The sequence below is a fragment of the Homo sapiens genome, chromosome 6 (assembly GCF_000001405.40).
Source record: "Homo sapiens chromosome 6, GRCh38.p14 Primary Assembly".
In the NCBI taxonomy this organism is placed as follows: Eukaryota; Metazoa; Chordata; class Mammalia; order Primates; family Hominidae; genus Homo; species Homo sapiens.
In genome coordinates, this window is record NC_000006.12 from 26,634,383 (window position 1) to 26,661,165 (window position 26,783).

At 37.8% G+C, this 26,783-nt stretch overlaps 1 protein-coding gene across 4 annotated transcripts, besides 6 other annotated features; it reads right to left on the reverse strand.

Moving 5' to 3' along the window:
- ZNF322 (zinc finger protein 322) lies at positions 1-25,364 on the reverse strand. Of its 4 annotated transcripts, NM_001242797.2 has the most exons (5): positions 25,059-25,364; positions 24,395-24,469; positions 24,176-24,264; positions 9,277-9,346; positions 1-4,346 (listed from the first exon to the last, which is right to left on the reverse strand). In NM_001242797.2, the coding sequence occupies exon 5, from the start codon at positions 4,169-4,171 to the stop codon at positions 2,963-2,965; it is 1,209 nt and encodes a 402-aa protein (NP_001229726.1). In that variant the 5' UTR covers positions 4,172-4,346; positions 9,277-9,346; positions 24,176-24,264; positions 24,395-24,469; positions 25,059-25,364; the 3' UTR covers positions 1-2,962. The 4 variants fall into 4 exon arrangements, with proteins under 4 accessions (NP_001229726.1, NP_078915.2, NP_001229728.1 ...); NM_024639.5 differs by lacking the exon at positions 24,395-24,469; NM_001242799.2 differs by lacking the exons at positions 24,176-24,264; positions 24,395-24,469.
- Positions 24,794-25,294: an enhancer, noted in NCBI's record as "H3K27ac hESC enhancer chr6:26659404-26659904 (GRCh37/hg19 assembly coordinates)". NCBI's record gives its function as "activates a minimal SCP1, AML or CMV promoter by ChIP-STARR-seq in primed H9 embryonic stem cells {active_cell/tissue: H9 hESC(primed)}" and the evidence as "EXISTENCE:reporter gene assay evidence [ECO:0000049][PMID:30033119]".
- Positions 25,015-25,064: an enhancer, noted in NCBI's record as "active region_24252". NCBI's record gives its function as "activates an Ori minimal core promoter by ATAC-STARR-seq in GM12878 lymphoblastoid cells {active_cell/tissue: GM12878}" and the evidence as "EXISTENCE:reporter gene assay evidence [ECO:0000049][PMID:35858748]".
- Positions 25,075-25,264: an enhancer, noted in NCBI's record as "active region_24253". NCBI's record gives its function as "activates an Ori minimal core promoter by ATAC-STARR-seq in GM12878 lymphoblastoid cells {active_cell/tissue: GM12878}" and the evidence as "EXISTENCE:reporter gene assay evidence [ECO:0000049][PMID:35858748]".
- Positions 25,295-25,795: an enhancer, noted in NCBI's record as "H3K27ac hESC enhancer chr6:26659905-26660405 (GRCh37/hg19 assembly coordinates)". NCBI's record gives its function as "activates a minimal SCP1, AML or CMV promoter by ChIP-STARR-seq in primed H9 embryonic stem cells {active_cell/tissue: H9 hESC(primed)}" and the evidence as "EXISTENCE:reporter gene assay evidence [ECO:0000049][PMID:30033119]".
- Positions 25,495-25,554: an enhancer, noted in NCBI's record as "active region_24254". NCBI's record gives its function as "activates an Ori minimal core promoter by ATAC-STARR-seq in GM12878 lymphoblastoid cells {active_cell/tissue: GM12878}" and the evidence as "EXISTENCE:reporter gene assay evidence [ECO:0000049][PMID:35858748]".
- Positions 25,575-25,774: an enhancer, noted in NCBI's record as "active region_24255". NCBI's record gives its function as "activates an Ori minimal core promoter by ATAC-STARR-seq in GM12878 lymphoblastoid cells {active_cell/tissue: GM12878}" and the evidence as "EXISTENCE:reporter gene assay evidence [ECO:0000049][PMID:35858748]".

Sequence of the window (26,783 nt, forward strand, 5' to 3'; positions counted from 1 at the left end):
TGGAGTTTTTCAGAACAAATGTTTATTTAATAATTAAGGGCAAACAAAAACATTAAAGCATAGGAATACATCAACTGAATACAAGTTGTCTTGTTTGGTCTGAAATCTTGAAAAAGTTAATCTAACTACTTACCTGAGGTAGATTTAGGTTGGCACTGCTTCAAGGGAACCTCCGTCCATCCCAGAAGTTACCTTCTAGTTTTGGTTACAGGCTCCCAAGTGGTCCTCTCCAACCTCAGGTTATGCTATATGAATAATACCAACACCTTTTTCTCCCATGGTTAAAAGCCTTCAGCCTTGTTTCATACCCCCATAGTTCTCTGTTTGGGGGATGGTCCATCATTAATTTACTTAAAAACTAGAGACAACTACCAGTAAGATCAGTTGAAAGAAGGGTCAAGTCATTGCCCTGTTAATGATACCAACTTTGACCCCTTCTCCATGTTCTCTCTAATGACTAACAAGTAGCCGTAAGGACTACTTTTCATCACCACCATGCCTCACACCCAATACTATTTTAAGTATACTACAAATGTCAAACATATACTAGTGATAGGCATGATTTTCACCAGAGAAAAAAAATACATCTTGTGTGTCTTATACTGGGCAACTTTTTATGATACAAGAGCTATTTCTAAATATTACAAAAACATGTCAGATCAAATAAACTTCCAGGATCTTTTTCTAAAAGAAAAAAAAATACCCTAGAATCCTTATTATCACTATGAGCTATATTCACTGGCCCTAATATTATCATGATCATCAACCAGTCATTAGGATCAAAGCTTAGAGCCATACACAAGGTAGCAGTGTAGCAGTTCGCCAACTCCATGAATCCAAATGGCAATACTCTCTGAAGTTCAGGGATCTGCTAGGACAAATCAAACCAAAATCAGAGGATTTGGACTAGCAACAAAGTATCTATTCACTAGTCTACAAAGTCCCAAATACTATAGGAATCTGAAGTATTGGTATTACACGTCTTTGAATCTCAGGGAAGAAAAAAACTGAGATGTGACCATTGATAGATCTCTAGATTAATTATAGTATTTCTAGAGAACATTAAAGACAATCCTAATTATACTTTTAAATTGGAAACAAGTACTTATCCTTAAGCCTCTGATGAATCTGCCAACTACTTTTCCCTTCTAGTATTTAGAATTCTGCATTCCACGCCATATACCTTATAATGTGGTGATTGCAATCCTTTCCCTGGGATTAAAAGGTATTTTCTCTTTCCTTGGCAGAACTGAAATAAATGAAAGACGTATCATTATGGGTCTTGATTTGCTATAAACAGCAGGATAATGGAGTGAAAAGAACACTAGGTTTGGAGTTAGGATACTCAAAATAAAAAAAGCCTTACTCTTATATTAATAATGCATCATTATGCATTTTTTACTCTATGCCTACTCAGGCTTAAACTTTTCTTTCAGTTTTCCTGTAGCCATTTTACTAGGAGCTGACTGTGGGTAGCTACTGCTGAAAGAGATGATAAGTGAAGCCACAAAAATATGGACACTAAAACCATCATAATCATTATATGAAATTTGCACTTTGAGTTAAAAAGAAATGAATTTCTAAACTTGAAATTTCAAATACCAGTAATAACTTGAAAGATATTTTAGGGGAAAAAACTTTTGAGAGTATGCCTCAACTGACACTAAGTAAAAAGCTGAGTATGCTGTTTCTTTATAAGATTGGTCCTGCAAAGGAAAAACTATTAGGAGAGTTTTGATCTAGGATAGCTACTCCCTAGCTTCTTAAGTTCATTTCACTGCCAGCAAAAGGCTGCCATGTTACTATCAACACTCTAGTCCCATCCTAGACAAGCATAAAAATATCAACCAAGGCAAAGTCAATATACTCCTTTCCCCCAACAGTAACACATGCCACACCTTCTATCATAAGGTTACCGTCCTTTCCTTTATTGGATTTCTGAATTTTTTAAAAAGTAAAAGTAAAGCAATCATTAAGTAGTTCAGATAAAAGAAAAGCATCTTTACCTGAGTTACCCATCAGGTCTACTCTGACCCACCCTAGCTTCTCCCAGAACAAGCTTCTGGGTATCTAAAAAACTATTTTCATACTGATTTCATGTAAAGTCCTCTCTACCATATGAGTCAACTAACTATGAGAACAGTCTTCTCATACATATTATATGTACATAGATTCTCACCCACAATTAAATCTCTCACTGCAGAACAGGTTTTTTGGGGCCTGATAAGACAGGAGCTTCTACCAAAGGTTTTCTCAGACTCAAGGTAAGTATGGGTTTTTTCACCTATGTGAGTTCCCTGATGTACCACAAGAGTTGATCATTGACAAGCACTCTTCATTCAGACACTTGCAGTCTTTCCTCAGATTGGGTTTTTTTTTTTGGGTGCAAACCCAAGTAAGGCTCTCCAACGAATGCTTTTGCCATACTTAAGACAAATATACAATTTTTCACCAGTATGGCTTCTCTGATGGGTAAGTCAGAGTTTTGTTAGAAGCTTTTTTCACACTTGCTGGGGCTTCTCCCCAGGGTGGGTTTTCTGAGGTCCAATGAGATGTTCATACTGTCTGCAGCACAACTGACACTGAAGGCATTTAAAAAGTTGTTCTCCGGTGTGAATTCTCTTACAACGAGAAGGGCTGAGCATTAGTAGAAAGCTCTCTCACACTCAGTGCATTTCTAAGGTTTCCCACTTGTATGAATCCTCTTGTGAGTGATCAAATTTGAGCTCAGACGGTAAGTTTTCAAAACCTCTGGGCATCTGTAGATTTCTCGTTGGAGTGAGGATGAAGTGTTCTGTTAGGGCAGCTCTCTGGGCAAAGAATTTCTCATATTTCCAATTGCAGGCTCTCTGGTCCCCACTGAATTCTGAGCTCTGAGCAAAGTCTGAGATTTGTCCTCATCTTAATGAGTTCTCTGATACATAAATAATTTTTAATATTGGTATTACAGCTTCTCGCCTGGTCAAGACATCTGTGAGGCTTCTGACGCATGGGGAGGGCTAAGCTCAAGACCTTTTTCACTCACATTACAGACAAACGGTTTTTCACCAATGTGTACTGTCTGATGTTGAAGAAGGGCTGAACTCTGGTGGAAGCTTTTATCACATACAGTGTATTTATAGTGTAGCTCCTCTGTTTGAGTTCTCATTTTCTGTTGGGCAACAAAGTCCATTCCTAGGAGGAAGCCACTCTCACACGCAGACCACTGATGTGGTTTCTCTTCCATGTGAATTCTCTGATGTACAATAAGATCTGAGCTACAGTTAAAGCTTTTTTCATATTCAAGGCATTTAAAAGTGTGAGTGTGAGTTGCCTGGTGCCTAATTAGGTTGGCACTCCGAGTAAAACTTCTCATACATTCCAGGCATTTATACGGCTTCTCACCTGTGTGGACTCTCTGGTGCACGATAAGGTCTGATTTCTGGCCAAAGCATTTTTCACAGGCACCACACTTATAGGGCTTCTCCCCAGTATGAACTCTTTTATGTACAATGAAGGCTGAACGGTGTCGGTAACTTTTCTCACACTTATTACATTTGTAGGGCCTTTCCCCAGTGTGAGTTCTCTGGTGGCTAATAAGATCTGATTTCCCACTAAAAGCTTTTTCACACTCGAGACACTTAAATGGTTTCTCACCTGTGTGAGTTCTTCGATGCCTTATGAGGTTTGTACTTCTACTGAAGCATTTGTCACACTCACTACATAGATATGGTTTCTCGCCAGTATGGCTTCGCTGGTGGACAAGCAGATCAGAACTCTGACCAAAATTCTTGCCACAAATGTCACATGTATAGAATTTTTTACCTGCATGTGTTCTCTGATGTCCTGAAAGCGCTAAGTGATGCCAAAAGCTCTTCTCACATTTGCTACATTTATAAGGTTTCTCGTAATTGTGGATCCTCTGGTGTGAAGTAAGATCTGAGCTTTGGACAAAGGTTTTCTCACACATATCACATTTATAAGGTTTCTCCCCAGTATGGGTTCTCTCACACATAATAAGAGCTAAGTTTTCACAGAAGTTTTGCTTGCATTCAAGGCACTGGTATATATGACCATCTATCTGAATAATCTCATGCATATGAATAAAAATCTTTTTACCCTTCCGAGGGCATACATTATATATTTTCCTTTTTTGAGTTCTCTGATTACATTTCTCTTCTGAAGTGTACATTTTCTATGGCTCTCTCCTAGGGAGTTTTCCGCTGGTCTTCTTGACCCATCGTTGCCCTCACAGTCATTTTCTTGATAAGAACTTGGAAGATACATCTGTTTCAGGCCTTTCAATCATGAGCCTCTACAAGTTTCCAGCATCATATATGTTAATTCCTTACTTGGTATTTCCAACCCTGTGAGACAAAGTAGAAATATTATTTATATTCCTATGACTAAGAAAAGAATTCTCAAAATTAAAATCACTGCAGAAAAGACAAACTCTGTATCAGAGTCCCTAAGTCTTCTAGGTTTTATATGGCTTGAAATCAGTTATTTACTTTTACTCTTTGCTAATATAAAACTGATCAGCAATACATATGGGAAACTGCAAGTAAGAACTCTTTTCTCTATGAATCTGGGTAATTTTAAACAAGAGCTCTTCATCTTTCCTTGCTTCAGTTGAGAAATCAAGACAAGACTAATAATTATTATGCCTGCTCATGAAGAAAGCAAATCAAAAGGGACAGTGAATGAGTATCTCTGGAGTCCTTTCTGCAGAAAGCTTGGAAGAAAGTAGTTAATGATCATTAGAATTCCAAGTGACCAGAGAGAAAAGTAAGGTTTCTATGACTCTAATTCGTAGTGGTGATATCAGGCAAGTTTCTTAACCACTGTATGCCTCGTTTCCTCATCTGTAAAGTGGATTAATAATAGAAACTACCTTACACGGTTCTGTGGAATATTAAATCGCTATGAATCTCCTGGTAAGCCCTCTGTTTTGGCTCTTACTATCACTGTTATTATGACAAAGGGGCTTAAGATTCTGCTTTGATATGATTATATAAGCACATAACTTGCTCAAAAAGAAAAATCCTGACTGATTATAGATACAAGTCTAGGCTTGGAACATAGATTTTATAACAGGCTTTTCTTTACATGGTGAAAAGTTGTAAAAAAAAGTTTTTTCCTCCTCATTCTGTGGTTTAGAGGTATGTACACATACAGAAACACCTAAAGGATCAAGTATCTTAAAAAAAAGTTAGGTTGATACAAGAGAGTTCAGAGGGAGTAATAAGTCAATGCATTTATCAATTACCAAAAATAGACTAAAGAACAGAAATAAAAGGAAGAAAAAAAGCCATTTTCCATATCCTTCACACTTAACTCTCTTCAGTGATCTTTTCATGTTTGACCCTCCCTCATACATTCAGACCCCTCGTCTGTCACCTAAAGAGTATAACCTGATAATTTTGCTTCCTATTTTACCAAGAAAATGGAAGCAAGCAAGCAAAACAACAACACATACACAAAAACCAAAATCCTTTCCACATGCCCCCACCACATCAACCAACCTCTTGTAAGTGTGGTCACGTACTGCATCTTTCCTTCAGCTACCAGGGATGACAAACTTCCTTGCTCAATCTAAGGATAGCCTTTCCATCTGTATACCCCCTTTGTTCACAAGGACATCACTCTAGCAATTCCACCCTCCCTCTCCTGCATTATCAATTTATTCCTTCGTATTGGACCATTCCAATATTATTTCTCTTCTCAAAAACAAAAGCACAATCAACAAGAAAAACCTCTCAACTGCCTCACACTCAGGCTGTTGTCCCATTTCTCTGTTCCTCTCCGCAGTAAAACGCTTTGAAATAAATAAACCTGCTCATTGTCTCCAATTCTGTCTTCCAAGGTTTCTGGAACATACTCCAATTAAACAATCAACCCTCACTACTCCACCAAAACTGCTTCTGTTAGAAACCTACAAGCTCTTAAGAAATCTGACTCGTAGTTACTACTCTGATCCATTTCTCTGCTCTTCCTCTACTTACTCATTGCACTCCAGTCACCCTGAGTCTTTGCTGTTGTTCAAACAAGCCAGACTCACTCCCATTTCAGGGTCTTTATCCTTGATATCTCTTCCTGGATGAAGGGCTCTTCCTCCAGGAATCTTCAAGGCTCTCTCTCTCACCTCATTCACATCTTTGCTCAACAGGCATATTCTCAGTGAAGTCATTTCCAACCACCCTATTCTAAACTGTACCACATCTCCGTCCCAGCTGACTCACAAAAACAACACTCCTCTCCTTTCCTATTTTGTTTTTCTCCATAGAATGTAAGCCCCTAAAAGACAGGGATTTTTGGCTCACTTCATTCACTATTGTTTCCCCAGCACTCAGAAAAGTGCCTGGCACAGAGTAGGCACTCAAACCTAGAAGAGGAGTTCTTACTTGGCATCCACAGACTCCCAGGTAATTTATGAAAACTTTGACTGCAAAATGTACAGTATATGTGCACTTTTCTGGGGAGAAGGTACACGGTTTCTTAAATTATCAAAAAGGTCCAGAATCCAAGAAACTAGATATTAGATTGGAGCCTATTTGTAAAGGAAATGATATTAAAGCTCACTGAATACAGCAAATTAGTAAGTGTAATGGACCAGAACACAAAGGAACATGTGCACTCAGAGAAAACAGGAAGTCAAAAGGATCCAAAACACATGGTACTAACATGGTTACCTCTGGGTAATGAGATGATACATAACATTCTGTTTCATCAATTTGTTAACAACAGTTTTCTAATTTCCATTCAGCAATTTGTATGCTTTCCTTGCGAAAGGCACAGAGGCTGCTACTTTTACTCAATTTTATTGTAGTAAGTAAAAGTTATTTATAAATATAAAAAGATATACCAAGATTTCAAATGTCAACTCAGAACTGTTCTAAAACTTAAAGGGATAGGAGAAAGAACTGAATGAGGTGGGAGTAGTGCAATTTCTTCAGAGTCAAAACACAGATCCACAAGAAATGTAGTATTGTGACCACCGCGGGACATAATGGGAGAAAAATGCACTGCAAGGCTAACAAGAATAGGGAAGTCAAAACTGAAGTAGACAAGCTAAACAAAACAGACATGTTTATGCTAAATACAGTGATTAAAATCCTACATTTCAAATATGTGGGGGAAAGAGAGATCAGACTGTTACTGTGTCTATGTAGAAAAAGGAAGACATAAGAAACTCCATTTTGATCTGTACTCAGAAAAATTCTTCTGCCTTGAGGTGCTGTTAATCTGTAACTCTAGCCCCAGCCCTGTGCTCGCAGAAACATGTGCAGTATTGACTCAAGGTTTAATGGATTTAGGGCTGTGCAGGATGTGCCTTGGTAAAAATGTGTTTGCAAGCAGTATGCTTGGTAAAAGTCATTGCTATTCTCCAGTCTCAAGTACCCAGGGACACAATGCACTGTGGAAGGCCGCAGGGACCTCTGCCCAAGAAAGCCTGGGTATTGTCCAAGATTTCCCCTCACTGAGACAGCCTGAGATATGGCCTCGTGGGAAGGGAAAGATCTTACCGTCCCCTAGCCCGACACCCGTAAAGGGTCTGTGCTGAGGAGGATTAGTGAAAGAAGAAGGCCTCTTTGCAGTTGAGATAAGAGGAAGGCATCTGTCTCCTGCTCATCCCTGGGAATGGAATGTCTCGGTGTAAAACCCGATTGTACATTCTATTTACTTGGATAGGAGAAAACCGCCTTATGGCTGGAGGTGAGACATGCTGGAGGCAATACTGCTCTTCACTGCACTGAGATGTTTGTGTAAAGTCAAACATAAATCTGGCCTATGTGCACATCCAGGCACAGCACCTTTCCTTAAACTTATTTATGACACAGAGTCCTTTGCTCACATGTTTTCCTGCTGACCCTCTCCCCACCATTACCTTATAGTCCTGCCACATCCCCCTCACCAAGATAGTGAGAGAGTGATCAATAAATACTGAGGGAACTCAGATACCAGTGCTGGTGCAGGTCCTCACTTGCTGAGCGCCGGTCCCCTGGGCCCACTTTTCTTCCTCTATATTTTGTCTCTGTCTTTGTCTCTCTTTGTCTTCTTTTCTCAGTCTCTCGTCTCCACCTTACCCACAGGACCTTGCAAGAAATACCCACAGGTGTGGAGGGGTAGGCCCCCTTCAGAAATATTTGAGCATATCTCCATGATCTATGAACTGTCCTAGAAATTACTTTTTTTTGGTCCAAATTACATCTTTCAGGTGACTTTCACGGTATCACAGAACTCCTTAGACTACAAGTCCACAGTATACTCTGTCACCGTCATAATCTCAATCCTCAAAGCCTAACGTATCACAAGCATTACTCCTATTTTCTTTTATTAAATTCAGTTTACAGAGCTAAATGGCAAGTATCTGTTTTTGCCTTATAGTCAAAGGAAGTGAGCAAAGGACTTATACTGGGGCTGGATTCCAGATCTACTCCACCTATCACCTGCCTCATCTCAGTTTATGGCAAGTTCATCCTTTATTTCCTCAGGCTAAAACCTTGAAGTCATCCTGCACTCTTCTTTCTCACACCTCACAATCAAGCCATCAGCAAATTTGTTGGCTCCATTTCAAAACACATCCAGAGTCTAACCACTTCTCACCAGCTTCTGTTGTTACATTCCAGTCCAAACCACTCTTATTTCTTACTTTCACAATAGCCCAAGAGGCCCACTTGAGCTGCCCTGCTAGCCTGTCACTGCCTCTCTGACACCCTTTTATATTATTCTTCTCTTTGCATGTTCTAATCCAGCCGCAATGGCTTCCTAGCTGTTCCTCATCCAAACATACTATCCTTAGGGCCTTTGCCCTTTCTTTCTTCTGCCTACAGCTTTCTTCCTCCAGATGTGTGTATGAATTTCTCTTAATTCCTTCAAAGACTATTTTTTCAGATGTCAATTCTGAGGAAGGCCTTTCCTAACCACTCTGTTTAAAGTTGTGAATAGTCTTCATGCCCCAGCATTCACTATTCCCCTTTTCTGCTTTACTTTTCTTCATGGCACTTAAAACCTTCTAACATACTATATAATTCACTTTATTCAGTTTATTGTCTATTGCTAAAATATGACAAGGATGTCTGTTTTATCTTTCCTTACCATATACAGTAATGCCAGGTACAAAGTTGGTGCTTAATAAGCATCTGCTGAGTACATGTATGAATTCTCATTGAAATTCTACTTCTCTCCTTGTCTGATAAAAGGACTGAATGTCACAAAGAATGGGAGGTACTCTGATGAGATGGAGTCTGGGAAAGAGAAGGGATACTTCAAAATACTGAAGTAACTGCAGCTTACCTAGAATCCAGATGGAAGAAAACATACATTCCTGATCCTGACAATTTGACTTCTCAAAGAAGATAGCATTCTGTAAAACACAAAGACAAGGATAAAAAGCCATAAATGAGAGAATTTAGCACTAGATCATTTACACTCAAAGGATTTAACAATGGGTAAACTACAGTTAAAAAGAACAGATGGGTTTTCTTATCTAATCCCTTAAATTCAATTCTGTAGAGTCTTAAATCATCCCATATGACTCTTTAGAGAAAAGGACAATACAGAATCTATAACCCATCTGCACAATCTATAGCTTCCTTTGCAACTATAACAACATTGAAGGAAAGGGCTCCTAACACTAAATCTTGGTGGTATCTTGAAAACACGAAGGCATTATCTTCCCTACAGGAACTCAGGCTGTCCTGATCCAAAGTGTAATAGGGACTACAAAGTATTTTTGGGATTATAACAAAATTACCACCTTACCACCACTGCAACCCACGTAATCATCACAATTTTGGTAATTCAAAATTTATAACACCCTAAGCTGATTTATATTTCAACCACAAACAACCCAGGAGGTGGTCAATTAGGGGCACAAAAAGAAGTTAGAGAGTCCACACTTAACCATTGATGTCTTTCTCTAGAAGTTTTAACCTGCCTTATCCTTAGGTTAATGGGACTTGCAGTTCCCTCAACAACCTTCCTGCTACTGAGGATCAGAAGCAAAAATGGAACTACTTGGACCCAGGCAACATATAGGGCCATACAGCTGAGGCTCTCTATGACACTTAGCTTATAGCTGCTAGTATTAAAATGACATGTTTTATGGCTCTAGTTCCAGGTAAGATGGAGTAAATACATGTCACAGATGTCATCCCATTGAATCCAACTATGAAGTCTGGACAGAATGTATGGCCCAGTTATTTGACAACTCCAAAAAGCACATAGCATGCAAGTCAGGAAAGAGCAGAATTTTAAATGCCATTCAACCAGCAGTGATTTTATTTCTTTTTTTTCCCCCTTTTGGTCCTCTTCAGTATGGGGCCTAAGCTCGGTGTAGCCCTAAATATAGAAGTGAGGGAAGTTGTAAAACGTAATTGTCAACTGAGACTTCTCAGAAAACCTGTAAGTTTTCACACCATTTATTTATTTATCTATTTATTTATTTATTTTTATTTTAAGTTCCAGGGTACCTGTGCGGGATGTGCAGTTTTGTTACATAGGTAAATGTGTGCCTATGTAAACATGTGCTATACCTATCAACCCATCACCTAGTTATTAAGCCCACCATGCATTAGCTATTTTTCCTGATGTTCTCCCTCCCCCCGCACCTTGCTACAGTCCCAGTGTGTGTTGTTCCCCTCCCTGTGTCTAACTGTTCACATTGTTCAGCTCCCACTTATAAGTGAGAACATGCGGTGTTTGCACACCAATTATTTAAAATTGGCCATGGAAGTCAGTGGACAGAAAACTGACTTAAATATGAAAAAAAAAAGGAAAATATCTCTAGAGGAAATATAAAGAATGTGGTAATAAAACACAGTCAGAGGGGATAACAGTGGCTACAGAAATCCAAATCTCTCAACACATCCTTTAAAAGCAGTAAGAATAAGAAGAACAAATGTACTATACAAAGCCCACACTGTCACCAAATCCCATATAGCTGTCTCTCACATTCTAGCCATAAGCTATCAAGGAGAGCAAGGACAATCTGAGAATGAGAGGTAAAGAGAAGAGAGCTAGCAGTGGGCAAGACTGACCTAAAATTCATTGCCAGAAAGAAAAACCCACTCTAAGTACAAAAAACTTTATCACAGTAAGTATGTATAGAAAAAAAAAAGCCATTTAGGGTTCAATACTATCTGCAGTTTCTGGTATACACTGGGAGTCTTGGACCATATCCCCCACAAATAAGGTGGGATTACTATATTGTATTTATGGCAGGTGAGAATTAAAGTACACTATTAAACTAAAAAACCATCTGAAGCTGAAATGGCCTTTTAGAAAAGAAAAATTTTAGAAACCCTTAAAAACCAAATAATTAAAGGTTAAATATAAAAATTTATTTTTTTAATGAACTAAAGGCATTAAAAAAGATCTAAGTATGGTCAGGTGCGGTGGCTCACGCCTGTAATCCCCGCACTTTGGGAGACCGAGGCAGGCGGATCATATGAGGTCGGGAGTTCGAGACCAGCCTGACCAACATGGAGAAACCCTGTCTCTACTAAAAATACAAAATTAGCCGGGTGTGGTGGCACATCCCTGTAATCCCAGCTACTTGGGAGGCTGAGGCAGGAGAATCACTTGAACCCAGGAGGTGGAGGTTGCGGTGAGCCAAGATCAGGCCATTGCACTCCAGCCTGGGCAACAACAGCGAAACTCCGCCTCAAAATAAATAAATAAATAAATAAATAAATAAATAAATAAATAAATCTAAGTACAAAAGTAGCTAATATAACAAAAATCAAACATTCAAAACAGAAAGTCATGAAAGAGCTATGAAAACCTATCGTAGAAAAAAAAGTAACAAAATACAGTTATAACAATATGACATTGTTAAAACCAAACATCAACTATATCAATAAATATAAATGAGCTTAACACACCTATTAAAAGAAAGAGATTTTCATTTTGGCTCACAAGCAAGACCTAACTATATGCTAAATACAAGAGACACCTAAAGCAAAGTGATTCAGGCAGGCTAAAAATAAGGAGGTGGGAAAAGGAACACTAGGCAAACAGAAACAATAAAAGTAGGGCTTTTGATCCTGATATCAGGCAAAGTAGAGTTCAAGCCAAAAGAATTAAACATAATAATACTTTCTAAATTACACTAAAGTCATGGTTATCTATGTATCACATTACACAGCAGGCACATTTACAAAGGAAAAACAGAGAAACAGATACAAAGAAACAGAGATAAAAATATTAATAATAGGAAAGCTTAATATACCACTCTCAATAAAAGACATACAAACTGGACCAAGAAGTAATGATGCAGAAGGCCTAAATAACCTAATTAATAAGTAAATCTTATTTATATTAAACCGTATGTCCTGATAAGTACACATTCTTTTTAAGAACACATGAATCATCCACAAAAATCTGTCATATATTATGTAATAAAGGAAGCATCATTATCGCAAAGAAACATTACAAGAAACAATCTGCAACAAAACTAGAAATTTATTAAAATATCAAGCGACCAAAGGTCCTTTCAAATGGGGGGAAAATAAACTGTTAAAAAACTATTCAGTAAAAGGGGCAATGAAAAAGTTAACAAAATTTTTAAGTATTCATAATTGAAAATATTATATATTACAATCTATGGGATAAATTTAAACCAGTTCATGCCTATATTTCTTTAATCAATAAAAACAGAAGAATTTAAATGAACAAGTTAAATTCTTAGATCAAAAGCTAAGAAAAAAATAAATTTCAATTGAGCCCAGGAGTTCAAGACCAGCCTGGGCAATATTAATGAGACCCAATTTCTATTTTAAATAAATAAGTAGGTATGGTAGCTCATACCTACAATCCCAGTGCTTTGGGAGGCCGAGGCAGTAGGATTGTTTGAACCCAGGAGTTCAAGACCAGCCTGGACAACATAGCAAGATCCTGTCTCTATTTTGTTTTTTAATGGGAAAAAAAATCAAAATAATAACAAAAATAGATAAAAGGAGAAATCAATGAACTAGAGAACAAAAAGACAGTAAATCTAATGATAAATCAAAATCATACTTATTTTGTAAAACTTAAAGAAACAGATAAACCACTAGGTTACTTAATTGAAAAAAAGGAAGAAAGCACACATTTACAAAATAAGAAATGACAAGGAAGAATAACCACCGAAAAGAAAAACACACATACATGAAACCACTTTGCAAATCTCTATATAAATAAATATGATTAACTATAAAATAAGGGTTTCTTTATGAAACACAATTTATTAGAGTTGACTCCATTAAAGATATAAAGTCTTAAAACACCAATTTGCAGAGAATAAATAGAAAAAGTTATAAAGGAACCATTCCATAAAAAGCACTAGGCCCAGATTATTTCACGAAATAATTCTATAAATCTACACAGACCAAATAAATACAATGCTTCATACATATTTTCCAGAGCACCGAAAATGAAGCACAACTTCCTAATTCTTTTTGTGAAATAAGGATAGCACTGGTAACTAAACCTGATGAAGAGAGCATAAAAAAATTTTAATATCCAATATCGCTTTTTTTTTTTTTTTTAAAGAGTCGGGGTCTTGCTCTGATACCCAGGCTGGAGAGCAGTGGCACAATCATAGCCCACTGTAGCCTCAAGCTCCTAGGCTCAAGCAATTCTCCTGGCTCAGCCTCCTGAATAGCTGGGGTATAGGTACACACCACCATGCCTGGCTAACATTTTTTATGAATGTGAGAAATACTAACAAAAATCAATACCACATTAAGAAAATAATATACCATGACCAAGTGGAATTTTTGCAAAATTGGTTCAAAATTAGACTATCTTTCAATATGAGGAAATCCACTAAATATAATACCCCATATGAACAGACCTATGGAGAAAAATAATATATTATCTCCATAGATAGTGAAAGAACCTGCAACAGAAATCAACATCTATTCTGGATAAAAACACTCAAGAAAGTGGAAATTAATAGATATTTCCTTTTAATATGATAAAACATACATTCCTTCATCCAGTACCTTAAGTTAGAAAAACTACAATAATTTTTACTAAGATCAGGAACAAGGCAAGTATGGCCAATACTTCTCTTTTCAATCACTGACCTGGAAGTATTAATCAATGCAATTAGAAAAATCAATTAGAGGTGTGAAAGAAGTAAAACTATCTCTATTTGGAGGTGATTTAATAGTAGAATTAGAAAACCCTACAAAGGACCAATGCTAAAACTAACTCAAATGATAAAGGAATTCAGTATGGTAGCAGGATATAAAATTTGCCACACAGAAACCACCAGTTTTTTACATAAATATAAAGAATAACTAATTGGAACACACAATGATAGAGAACAACCTTTGTATAACAGCAGCAATATAAAACTACTTAGAAATAAATAAAACATAGCCATGCCAAATAAAGCATAGGAAAACTTCTCCCTCCTGAGACCCAAAAATAGACTCGAATAAATGGAAGGACAGCCTTTGTTCTTGCATAGAACAATTCAACATTATGAAGATGTTCCCTCCTAAGATTTATAAACAATGCAATCTCAATAAAAATAACAAGCTTCTTTATGAAACTAGACTAAGGGGTGGCAAACTATGGCCCACAGGCCAATTCTGGCCTGCCACCTGTTTTTTTCAAATAAAATTTTACTGAAATAGGGTCATACTTATTCATTAATGTATTGAAAGGCAGAATTGAGTAGTCACAATAGAGACCAGATAGCCACCAAAGCCTAAATACAATACTTTCTGGCCCTTTAAAGAAAAATCTCCAATGCCTAAGCTGTACAGTTGCTACTCAAGTTCACTTTGAAAAGACCAACAAGGACAGCCATGAAGCAATGAAAAGACAGACTATGAAGGGTAACTAAACCCATGAGACATTAAAATAAACTTTAAAGCTTCTAATATTAAAACAACAGAGTTCCAAAACACAATTAGATAAAGGGACAAATAGAAAAGGAAATCCAGAAATAAACACATATAGAAATTTAGTATACAATAAAGATGACATCTCAAATCACCAGGGCAAAAATGGACTTTTTAATAAATGATGGTAAAACATCAAGGTAGCCACATGAAAATAGGTACAATTTGGTCTACACTTCATACCACACACCAATATAAACTCCCAATTGGTTAGGGTTCTAAATGTATACATGGAAATGATAAGATACTACAAGAAAACTAAAGTAAATTCTACATTAATCTTAGGGTACCAAAAATTTTCTATCTGTAAGACTGATCATTTGACTAAAAATAAAAACTTTTTTTAAAGTTTTCTTTTATATATACATACATATGTGTGTGTGTGTGTGTGTGTGTGTGTGTGTGTGTGTGTATATATATATATATATATATATATATTTTTTTTTTTTTTTTTTTGAGACTGAGTTTCGCTCTTGTTGCCCAGACTGGAGTGCAATGGCGTGATCTTGGCTCACCACAACCTCTGCCTCCTGAGTTCAAGTGATTCTCCTGCCTCAGCCTCCTGAGTAGCTGGGATTGCAGGCATGCACCACCATGCCTGGCTAATTCTGTATTTTTAGTAGAGACGGGGTCTCTCCATGTTGGTCAGGTTGATCTCGAACTCCCGACCTCAGGTGATCTGCCCGCCTCAGCCTCCCAAAGTGCTGGGATTACAGGCGTGCGCCACTGTGCCAGCCAAAAACATTTTATATATATAAAAAATGAACAAAGTCAACGGTCAATGGGCAAACTAAGAGAAAATATTTGTAACAATATTTGAGATACAGGGACAATATACCTAATATATAAAGATCTCTTAAAAATTGAGGGAAAACGACAAACATCTGATAGAAAAATAAGCAAAAGACAATTCTCACACACACAAAATATAAAAATGTCCCTTAAATATATGAGAAGCTGTTCAATCTCATAATTAGAGAAATGCAAATTAAAATAAGTGATATTACTAGGAACAAAGAGAAACTTCTTCAAGTTGATAAAGCACATCTACAAGAAAACCACTGCTAACATCATACTTAATGGTGAAAACTTAGAAGCTTTCAGCTAACATCAGGAACAAGGTAAGAATGTTCTCTCTCACCACTGCTTTTCAACATAATACTGGAATAGAGAGATAATGCTACAAGACAAGAAAAGGAAATAAAAGGTATAGAGATTAGGAAGGAAGAAATAAAACTGTCTTTGTAAGTGACATGACCATATATGTAAAAATCTGAAAAAATCATTGACAAAAAACTCCTGGGACTAGGAAGTGATTACAGTTAAGGTTGTACAATACAGGGTTAACATACAAATCAATTATTTTCCTCTATACCAGCAATGAACAAGTAAAATTTGAAATTAAAAACACAATACCATTTACATTAACACTCTAAAAAATAAAACATCTTAAGTATAAATCTAACCAAATATGTTCATAATTTATGCAAAGAAAATTTGAAAACTCTAAGAAATAAAAAAGAGAACTAAATAAATGGAGGGATATTCCACATCCATGGATAAGAAGATTCAATATTGTCAAATAGTCAGTTCTTCCCAACTTGTACTACAGATTCAACACAATCCCAGCAAATTATCTTGTGAATATTGACATACTGATACAAAGTTTATATGAAGAGGTAAAAGACCTAGATTAGCGATCATAATGCTGAAGGGCAGGAACAAAGTTGGAGGACTGATGCTACCTAACTTCAACACTTACTATACTATTTGAAGTTACAAGACTAAAGCTATAGTAATCAAGAAAGTGTGGTAATGGTGAAAAAACAGACAAATAGATAAATGGAACAGAATAGAGTCCAAAAATATACCCATATAAATAGAGTCAGCTGATCCATGATAAAGGAACAAAGGCAATAAATACAAGGCAGAAAAAGACAGTCTTTTCAACAAATGGTGCTGAAGTAACTAGACATTCACATGCAAAAAAAAAAAAAAAGAATAAAATTCTCTCATTTGCATCAACATAAATGAACTTGGAGGACATTATGTTAAGTGAAATAAGACAGACACAGAATGATGAATACCACATAACCTCACTTACATATGGAGTATAAAACAGTCTAACTGATAGAAACAGATGGTAAAATGGTGGTTACCAGAGGCTGAGACATAGCAGGGTTGGGAAGAAATTGGTCAAAGGATACAAAATTTCAGTTAAACAGGAGGAATAAGTTCTAGAGTTGTACTGTAGGTAAGTTCTAGAGTTCTACATCATGCCTAATAAAAATACATTGCATATTTGAAAATTGCTGACAGTAGATTTTATGTTCTCACCACAAGAAATGGTATGTGAGGTAATATATGTTAAATAGCTTGATTTAGCCAGTCCACAATGTATACATATATTGAGACATCATGTTCTACATCATAAATACATACATACTTACTTCTCAATTAAAAAAAATTTACAAACCCCAAATGAATCAGATACCTAAGTATAAAACACAAAACTATAAAACTTCTAGAGGATAACATAGGAGAAAATCTAGATAAACTCGGGTATAGCAATGACTTTATATTTTTGGGATGGGTCTCGCTCTGTGTCCCAGGCTGGAGTGCAGTGGTGCGATCTCAACTTACTGCAATCTCCGCCTCCCAGGATCAAGTGGTCCTCCCACCTCAGCCTCCTGAGTAGCTGGGACCACAGGCATGTGTCACTACTCCAGGCTAATTTTTTCTATTTTTGGTAGAGACATGGGTTTTACCATGTTGCCCAGGCTGGTATTGAACTCCTGAGCTCAACTGATCTGCCTACCTTGGCCTCCCATAGTGCTAGGATTATAAGCGTGAGCCACCATGCCTGTGCTGGCAATGACTTTTTAGATACAACAACAAAGGTATGATCCATGGAGGAAAATTGATAAGCTGGACTTTAAAATTAAAAATGTCTGCTCTATGAAATAAACTGTCTAGAGAATGAGAAGACAAGCCACAGACTGGGAGAAAATATTTGCAGAAGACACATCTGATTAAAGACTGTTATTCCAAACATTTAAAAATCTCCAAAATATACAAAAATATACATATACCCTTAAAACTCAACAAGAAAACAAACCAGTTTAAAAAAACTGGCAAGTCAAGCCAGGCATGGTGGCTCATGCCTGCAATCCCAGCACTTTGGGAGGCTGAGGCGGGTGGATCACCTGAAGTGAGGAGTTCGAGATCAGCCTGGCCAACATAGTGAAACCCCTTCTCTACTAAAAATACAAAAAATTAGCTGAGCCTGGTAGCAGGAGCCTGTAATTCCAGCTACTAGGGAGGCTGAAGAAGGAGAATCACTTGAACCTGGGAGGCAGAGGTTGCAGTGAGCTGAGATCGCACCATTGCACTCCAGCCTGGGCAACAAGAGTGAAACTCCGTCTCAAAAAAAAAAAAAAAATTGTAGATACCCCATAGAATGTACAACATAAAGAGTGAACCCTAATGTAACCTATGGAGTTTGGGTGGCAATGATGTATCAACTTAAGTTCACTGATTGTAAGAAATGTATCACTCTGTTGAAGAGATTAACAGCGGGGGATGCTGTGTGTGCTATGTGTGTGGTATGTGCATGTGTCAGGGTAAAGAGAGTGGTAGGGGACATATGGGTACTCTCTGTATTTTTTGCTCAGTTTTGCTATGAACCTAACAGTTCTCTAAAAAATAAAGTCTATAAAAAATGAAATAATTTTTTAAATGTACATGAAATACCAGTTCTCACCAATTAAATCTGCATATATTAAAAGGTATGACAATGCATTTTGTTGTCGACACTGTAAGGAAACAGACACACTCATATGTTGCTGGAGGGAATGCAAACTGGTAAGTCTATAAAAAAAGAAATAATTTTTTAAAAGTACATGAAATACCAGTATCACCAATTAAATCAGTATACATTAAAAGGCATGACAATGCATTTTGCGGTCAACACTGTAAGGAAACAAACAAACTCATACGTTGCTGGAGGGAATGCATATGGGTACAATCTCGTCCGGAGGGGAATGTGGCAATATGTAACAAAACTAGATATACATTTACTTTTGACTCAGCAATCCCATTTCTAGAAATGGACTCTGAAGATTCACCTCCAATAACATGAAAATATAAAGCATAAAATTACTCATAGTAATGTTTGTAACGGGAAAATATTTAAAATAAATATCTGTATGTAAGAAAATGGTGAATAAACTATGGTACATACATCCACACATAATGGAGTACTATGCAACTGTAAAAGAGAATGAGGAAAATCTTTATCAACTGATGTGGAGTGATTTCCAGGATAAATTATAAATTTAAAAAAGCAAAGTGTAAAAAAGTATGTTGTATTTTATGTAAGAAAGTAAAAATAAAAAATTATATATGTAGTTCTCCACTTGCCCCAAAAAACAAGAAACTAATGAGATTGGTTATCATTACAAGGCAGATAAAAATGGAATTGATGGCACAGGAAAACAGAATTGGGTGGAGGAGAAGAGTCACATTTCTCTGAGAATATGAATACACAGCACACATATTTTTACTTTTAGAATTATGTTACATTTTACATATTCAATACATGAATGAACTAATGAACTAAATAGTCAAGATGGAAGAGAAAAGCATAAAAACAAATGCGCCTGTGTTTCAAATAAATAACAACTACACAGAAGAGAAAAAAAAATAACTCTAACACAATATTGGGACTATGTATATTCAATCTAAAGATAAAAATAACTCGAATCAGTACAGATTTTCTCCCCTGTTGGGATAAGGGTACACTACTTAATGTGTATCCTAGGACCGAATAAATAAGTAAATATACTATGGATAATGTCACCTAGATTCCCCATTGTCAATGAAGAAGGCTACAAACAGAAAAGAGAAAGGCTAGAATGAACTCTGTAGTGTTTAACTGGAATTAGAAGTACCAGTATAAGTCAAGATTTTAAGGTTTATATAGAGAATAAAGAAACGTATATATGTGTGAAATTACGTATGTTTATTTTTTTTTCCTAGTAATGTTTGCTGAGAAGTCATGGAAACAATAAAATCCTAGTAGTAATGAGTATACCAAGCATTCAGACATGGGTTTCTAAATACCATTCTACATTGAAAAGAATCAAGACTCTTTGGAGAAATGGCTGTTTCCACGGTTTGGAAAGTATAAGATAAGCCTGGACCATCCTGATGTGTCAGAAAGTAAGGAAGTGCTCAAAAAGTGGTGCAATATGCCAGAAGGACCCACAATTCAGGATGGAAGGACTGCCACTGTACAAATCTGGAACAAGCAGAACATTGAAATAAGTAATAACAGTAATAAATTAGTCACACAATAAGAATCCATGAATTTGTACTCATTAAAAAAAAGTGTATAGAAGGGAAAGTTTTTTTGCATTAGAAAAGCAAACAAATATAGAAGAAATGATGGAATTAAAAATTTCACGATGTTCAATCAAAAGAAGAGTACTGTGCAAAAATCTACTGGATGAAAAATTTTATGAGAATCAAGATATTTACATAATCTGAAAATATCTCCCCACTAGATATTTAATAATTATAAATATAAAAAGAGTAACTTCACAGTATAGAAACCTGGAAGACACCACCTTAACCTAATGGTATCCTCAACTAAAGTGAACATGACCAGTAATGAGATAAAACATCATGAGCCTCCTAATATGATGCAAAGAGAAAAACATAACATCACTTCTGCGGTATCTTGCCAAAAATGTCTAAACTGAATCTGATCACGAGGGAACATCAGAAAAACCCAAACTGAGGGAAACTACCAAATAAATGGCCTAAATATTCAAAAAATGTCAAAGGTATGAAAGACAAAGTCTGAAGATATGTTCACAATAGGGACAACATTATAATTAAATTAAATGACTGATGCTGAATTAGATCTTGGTCCACAGAAAACATTTTTTTCTTTTTGTCTTAAACAACATGAGTGGAGCAATTGGCTAAGTTTGAATAAGGTCTGGAGATTAGATAATAGTACTTATTGTATGAATGTTAATTTCCTGACTCCGATAATGGTAATGATAATTTCTAGAGAATATCCTTGTTTTTAGTAAATATACAACTGAATATTTAGGACAGGCTTTCTCAATTAGGGTTCTAGAAAAGAAGTCCCCAAAGAAAATGTATTCGAATGACTGTTTTCTCAGTTCTCCTAGGGATGGCATGTAGCTAGCAGTACTGTACATGCATAGGAGAGCAGGATTCCATGGCTTGATTCTCTGTTTGAGAAGAGACATGTCTACAATTTATTCTCAAATGGCTCAGGGAAAAATCTATACATATGTATATGTGTATTGCTATGCTTTGAATGTGTCCTCCAAAGTTAATGCATTGGAAACTTCATCCCCAATTCAATGATGTCGGGAAACAGATCCTAATGGGAGGTATGTAGGTAACAGGGGCACCACCCTCATAGACTAATGCCATTATTTCAGGAGTCGGTTCCTCACAAAAAGATGAGTTTGGTCCCTTTCTGAGCACTCTTGCTTGCTCTCACCCTCTCTTTGCCCTTTTGCCATGAAATGACACAGCAAGAAGGCTCTCACTAGATGCCAGCCCCCGTCTTGGACTTTCGAATCTCCAGAATCATGAGCCAATAAATTTCTGTTCATTATAAATTACTCAGTCTATGGTATTCTGTTATAGCAGCCCAAAACAGACTAAAACGTTTGTTTAATAGACAGAGGCAAAATCATAAAGCAAACATGGTAAAATGTTAACATTTAGAGCATATGAGTGAAGGGTATATGGGAGTTCTTTGTACCATTTTGCAATTTTTTGTATATCTGTACTTATTCAAAATTAAAAGGTATTTTATTTTGGTTTTCAAAAAACATGGTGGCTAAAGATTGGTTTATTTTGGTGGTTAATACTGACAGTTTAAGCTCTGGATGCAGATTTTGGTTCAAATTCCCACTCTCCTCCTTTGTAGCTGTGAGAACTTGGGTTAGTAACTTAATTTCCTTCAACTTCAATATTCTCTTTTTTCCTCACAGAGTTGCTATGAGAACAAAGACACTGCCGGTACTAAGCTCAATGCCTAGGTCTCAGTAGATGCTTAATAAATGGTAGATTCTATTATTTTCTTAATTCTACCTTCACATGCACAAAACCACTAACATGTATTAAGCCCATTTTCTATGCCTGATTCTTGTGCAAAGCCTTGTTCAAAACCCACTTGCAATAACTAATAAAACAATTTGGCCAGTTAATGATTAATATGAAGATTATGCAAAAACTAGAAAAAAATTATGGAGAAATATTAGAAGGAAAAGGAAGAATTCCAACTCAGAATCACAACTAAGTAAAGATATGCCGGGATACAGACAAATAGCTGTTATAAGATGGGGGGTTCATAAAAGGTTTTGTCTTTTAAAATTTGTATTAGTGTTAAGCTCAAAAGGAGAATAGAGTGAAAATAAAGGATTCTTAGTTTTGTCACAGCCAGGCAAATCATTTACATTATTCCCTAAAGTTATCAGTCCAAGATGTCTTATTTGCCCTAAACAACCAATGAAGTGTGGGGCATTAAGAAGAAGAAAAAAAAAACTGAATAAATAAGGAAATAATTTTCCTATTCATATCCAAGCTTTTTTTAGATGTCAACACCTAAAAAATAAGTCTGGGTGTCAAACCTCAAAACAGATCATAAGGCCGGGCGTGGTGGCTCATGCCTGTAATCCGAGCACTTCGGGAAGCCGAGGCTGGCGGATCACAAGGTCAGGAGATTGAGACCATCCTGGCTAACACGGTGAAACCCCGTCTCTGCTAAAAAGTACAAAAAAATTAGCCAGGTGTGGTGGCGGGCGCCTGTAGTCCCAGCTACTTGGAAGGCTGAGGCAGAAGAATGGTGTGAACCTGGGAGGCAGAGCTTGCAGTGAGCTGAGATTGTGCCACTGCACTCCAGCCTGGATGACAGAGCGAAGACTCCATCTCAAAAAAAAAAAAAAATCACGACACTTCCCTAATTTAAAATACTGTTTTCTAGCACACTCAGAATAAAATCCAAAGTTTTTACTGCTCTACATAATGTGGCACCTCTGCGTTATCTTCAGCCTCACAGGCCATCTCCGAGCTTTTGCACTTGTTCCTTCTGCCTAGAATGCTCTTCCCCATGCAGCTTACTCCTTTATTGGACTCAAGTCTCTGCCTGAAGATCACTTCCTCAAAAAGCAGCATACCCTGACTACCTTATCTAAAATAGCCTGTGTTGCTTTATCACATTTTATTTCTCTCCACAGCACTTATCACCATTCAACTTTATGGTATACATTTTATATTTATTCGTTTGTCTTTTTACTAAAATATAACTTCTATTAGGGTTAGGACTTAGTCTTTTGCTTACTGTAATATCCCTACTACCTAGAGTACATTTGTTGAATAAATGAAAAGTGTGAACAAATACCAGAACAAAAAGGCAATCATTATCCTTGGACCCCCAGTAGCTGTATAACAGACTAGACCAGTAGCCCTGGCTGGTTCATCTAGCAAGCCCAAATACATCTTTCAAGTCTTAGCTCCAGGGTACCCTCCTTCAGGATGCTTCTCTTGCCCCATCCTAGGAAGAGACTAGTACTCTTTCCTGCCTAGGGTCGAAGTGAAAGGAATAAACTGGAACACGACAAAAGTCCAAGCAGACAGGCTAATTCATACAACTTGAGAGTTCATGGTTATCCTTAAAGGGTATATGGGACCAAGAGACAAAGTTAGTAAAGCATTATTTAAAAATTAGATGGTGTTTATAGGCCTTAGACTTGGAAATTTCTCATTTATTTTTCATTGATTACATGGATTATCTCATTTAGTCCTCCCAAGGACCCTATGAAATAGGTATTAATACCAGTGTTTGGATCTTATAGATGGAAAACCTGATGCTTAGGGCAGTTAGATAATCACCCAACAACTTACAAATAGTAAGCAGCAGAGCCAGGATTTCAATACCTATCTTCTGACTCCAGAGCCTGCCTAAGCATTAGGCATACTACCCTCTTTGTGCTACAAATCAATCAAAAAGCAATTACTGCAAGCCTAATGTGAATATGCATGCATGTTGAAAAGGAGTAGAAAATAGCCTTAAGTTGGTAGGATAGGGCTCAGTTTTATCACTCTGCTATCTTAGGAGCTAAGAAAGGGGCATTCTCTTTTTCCATATATCTTCTCCCATACTTTCCTGTCTTTCACCCTGCCCCACCCCACACCCCCATCCACATTTATACAGAAACAGAGCCTGGTATACCACTTACCGTAACAAGAAAGACTCAAGACCATCTTCCTTTTGGTTTCAAAAGGTCTCTAGTTCAGAACTATTCACAACACTCAATTCTTGCCTCTCCTAGAGGAAAAATCAATAATGTAGACGATGACCTTGTGAAATTTATAATTCATAATTTTTCTAGAGCTGGCCTAGAAAACTGGTCCCATTTCCTCTCCATTCTAGTGAGCATCCTTCAACCATAGCTTACCTCTTCCCATCTTTGCTTACACTGTTTCTCCTGCAGGAAGTACCTGCCACTGGTAGCCATCAGTTCCGACCAGCTCTAGACAAAATGTCAAGAATCTTTCTATTACTAACTGTAACTTCATAACAAAGCCCTAAGCCTCGTTTTTCGTTTGTTTTTTCTCCTTCTGCTAATTGTTTTTGTTTGTATTATCTCAACTCCTAAGATCAAAGACCCATTCGTCTACCACTACAAACCCCAAAGTGCATGTGATAAGTGTATATAATATAAAGTTATCTGTAATTCCATTTTCCAAAAAGAAATGGTTATAGGAAGATTAAACAAACCAGATTTTTCTGCAGATAGATTCAACTGCAACATAACTAATTTCTGCACTGAAGATGAAGCGAAAAATCCATTCAAGGTCCTTTTTTTCCTCGATATATATGAAAGATTATATTGCTTTGAAAAGTGCCTTGCAGTGTTTACTATCTCTAGGAACTACCGTACTAAGGTTCTCTTCTTTCAACTTTTCATTGACCATCTTTCAGTCCTCCGTCCGCCGTCAGCGGAGACCAGACCATGCTCAGTGTCCAGGAACAGGGGCTGCTCCCACTCGACTGTGGCCGTGGGTCTTGGGTCCCACCGCGCACCCATCCCACCCCTGGGCCCCGCAGGCCGCGCTTACCCTGGCAGCCGCCGGCGCCGCCCCTAGGCCTGGGGACAGCACTTCCGGTTACTCTCCGGACACTCGAATCTGGGCTTCCTGGCGGCCGCAGACTCTGCGATAGTAGATCTAAGGGCCAGGCTTCGGGAAGGAAAGAAAAGCGAACCCGGCACGGACAAGACCTAGGAGCAACTCCCTTCGTGCGCCTAGACTAGAGGAGTTGGGGCCAGGCCGCCCACAGAGCGCTTTAACAGAGCGCTTCAAGGGCCCACAAGGCCGGCTACGCAAACCCTTTCAAGCTGGCTGGGAAGAGGCCGGCGCAGCCCCACCCCCGCAAGTCACATGATCACCCCTCTCCGGCCACTAGGGCGTTCCAACCCCGGCCCCTGGGCCAATAGGAGCCGAGTCTTCGGAAAGGGGCGGGGCCCGGGGCGCCTGCGCTCTGGGAGCCCTCGGCGTTTTGGTGGGAGGGGGTCTTGCTGGCGCAGTGGAAGGCCGGCTGCGGGGGGAGGCGATCGCTGCCACCCTGTCTAAGAAGAAACGGCACCAACAGCGTTGCAGTTTATGTTACAGTTTCCCCAAGGCTGTTAACCGAGGACTCAAACCAGGAGTAGAGTCACAAAGATTAGATGCCACTGACCCTGAGAGAAACACCAGGAAAGATCTGGGAGAGATAGAGGATTCTGAAGCACAGTGGCAGCGCTGTCATCCACGAAGATGTGGCCAGCGAGATGGAAGAAATGCTTTTAAAAGTGGTGGACTTGTGTGGGTGGAGAAAACAGCAGCGAGAGAAAGTACTGTGGGAGGTTCCCCAGTCCTTGCTGATTATGTTTCTGATTTGGAATCAGCTAAGAGTAAATCACCTAGTGGTGGGGCTGGAACAGAACTCAGTTCTTTAGGTTGAACACTGGGTATTCTCCCAGCTCAATTGTTAAATTAAAAAAAACAAACCAACAAAAAACAGTTTTTAAATGTCCTCAGCTATCAAAGGGAAAAGATGAGTAGTAGGAATATGGAAAACTAAACCCTGGGCAGCCTGGCCAAGGACTTGGATTGTGAGCCAGTTGCTGAGGTTTAGTAATTGGGGAGCGCAGTCTCTGAGACACGTATTCAGTATTAACTAATCATGTTCCTACTAGTGGAATTCTTCCGCAGAGGGTCTACAGCTTATTCTACTTTCATGTTTATTTTTAATGAAACTTTCAAGGTCAAAATATTCCACTCAGGGTTGTCTTAATATTTTGAATAATAACATTTTGAGTGTGTAGCATGTATCAAACACTGTTCTAATAACTTTACACTATTGTCTCATTCAGTTGTAACAAAAATCGTGTGAGATATGTATTCTTTTAGGAGGAAACTGGTGCACAGAGAGATTAAGTAGCTTGCCCAGGATCACATATTACTGATGAAGCTGTAATGTGAACAGTCTGATGCCAGATTCTGTGCTTGCAGTCACTATACTTATGGCTACCTCAATAGTGGTGAGTGTATTGTGTAAAATTATTGGAATAAAAATTAAGCAAGTTGGATTCTGATCTCTGCACTGCATATAACAAGGTCTGAATATGTGTAGAATTGAACTGTTCAACCTTTTCTTTCAGGATACATTGGCCCAAAGTACTCTTTATTAATTGTTTTATTCAGTTAAACATTTATTGAGCACCTCCAATTAACAGGACACCATAGGCCGGGCACGGTGGCTCACGCCTGTAATGCCAGCACTTTGGAAGGCTGAGGCGGGTG

Bases quoted from the DNA above. Each gene is read 5' to 3' on its own strand.
- ZNF322 (NM_001242799.2), bottom strand. From the start codon at position 4,171: ATGTACACTTCAGAAGAGAAATGTAATCAGAGAACTCAAAAAAGGAAA.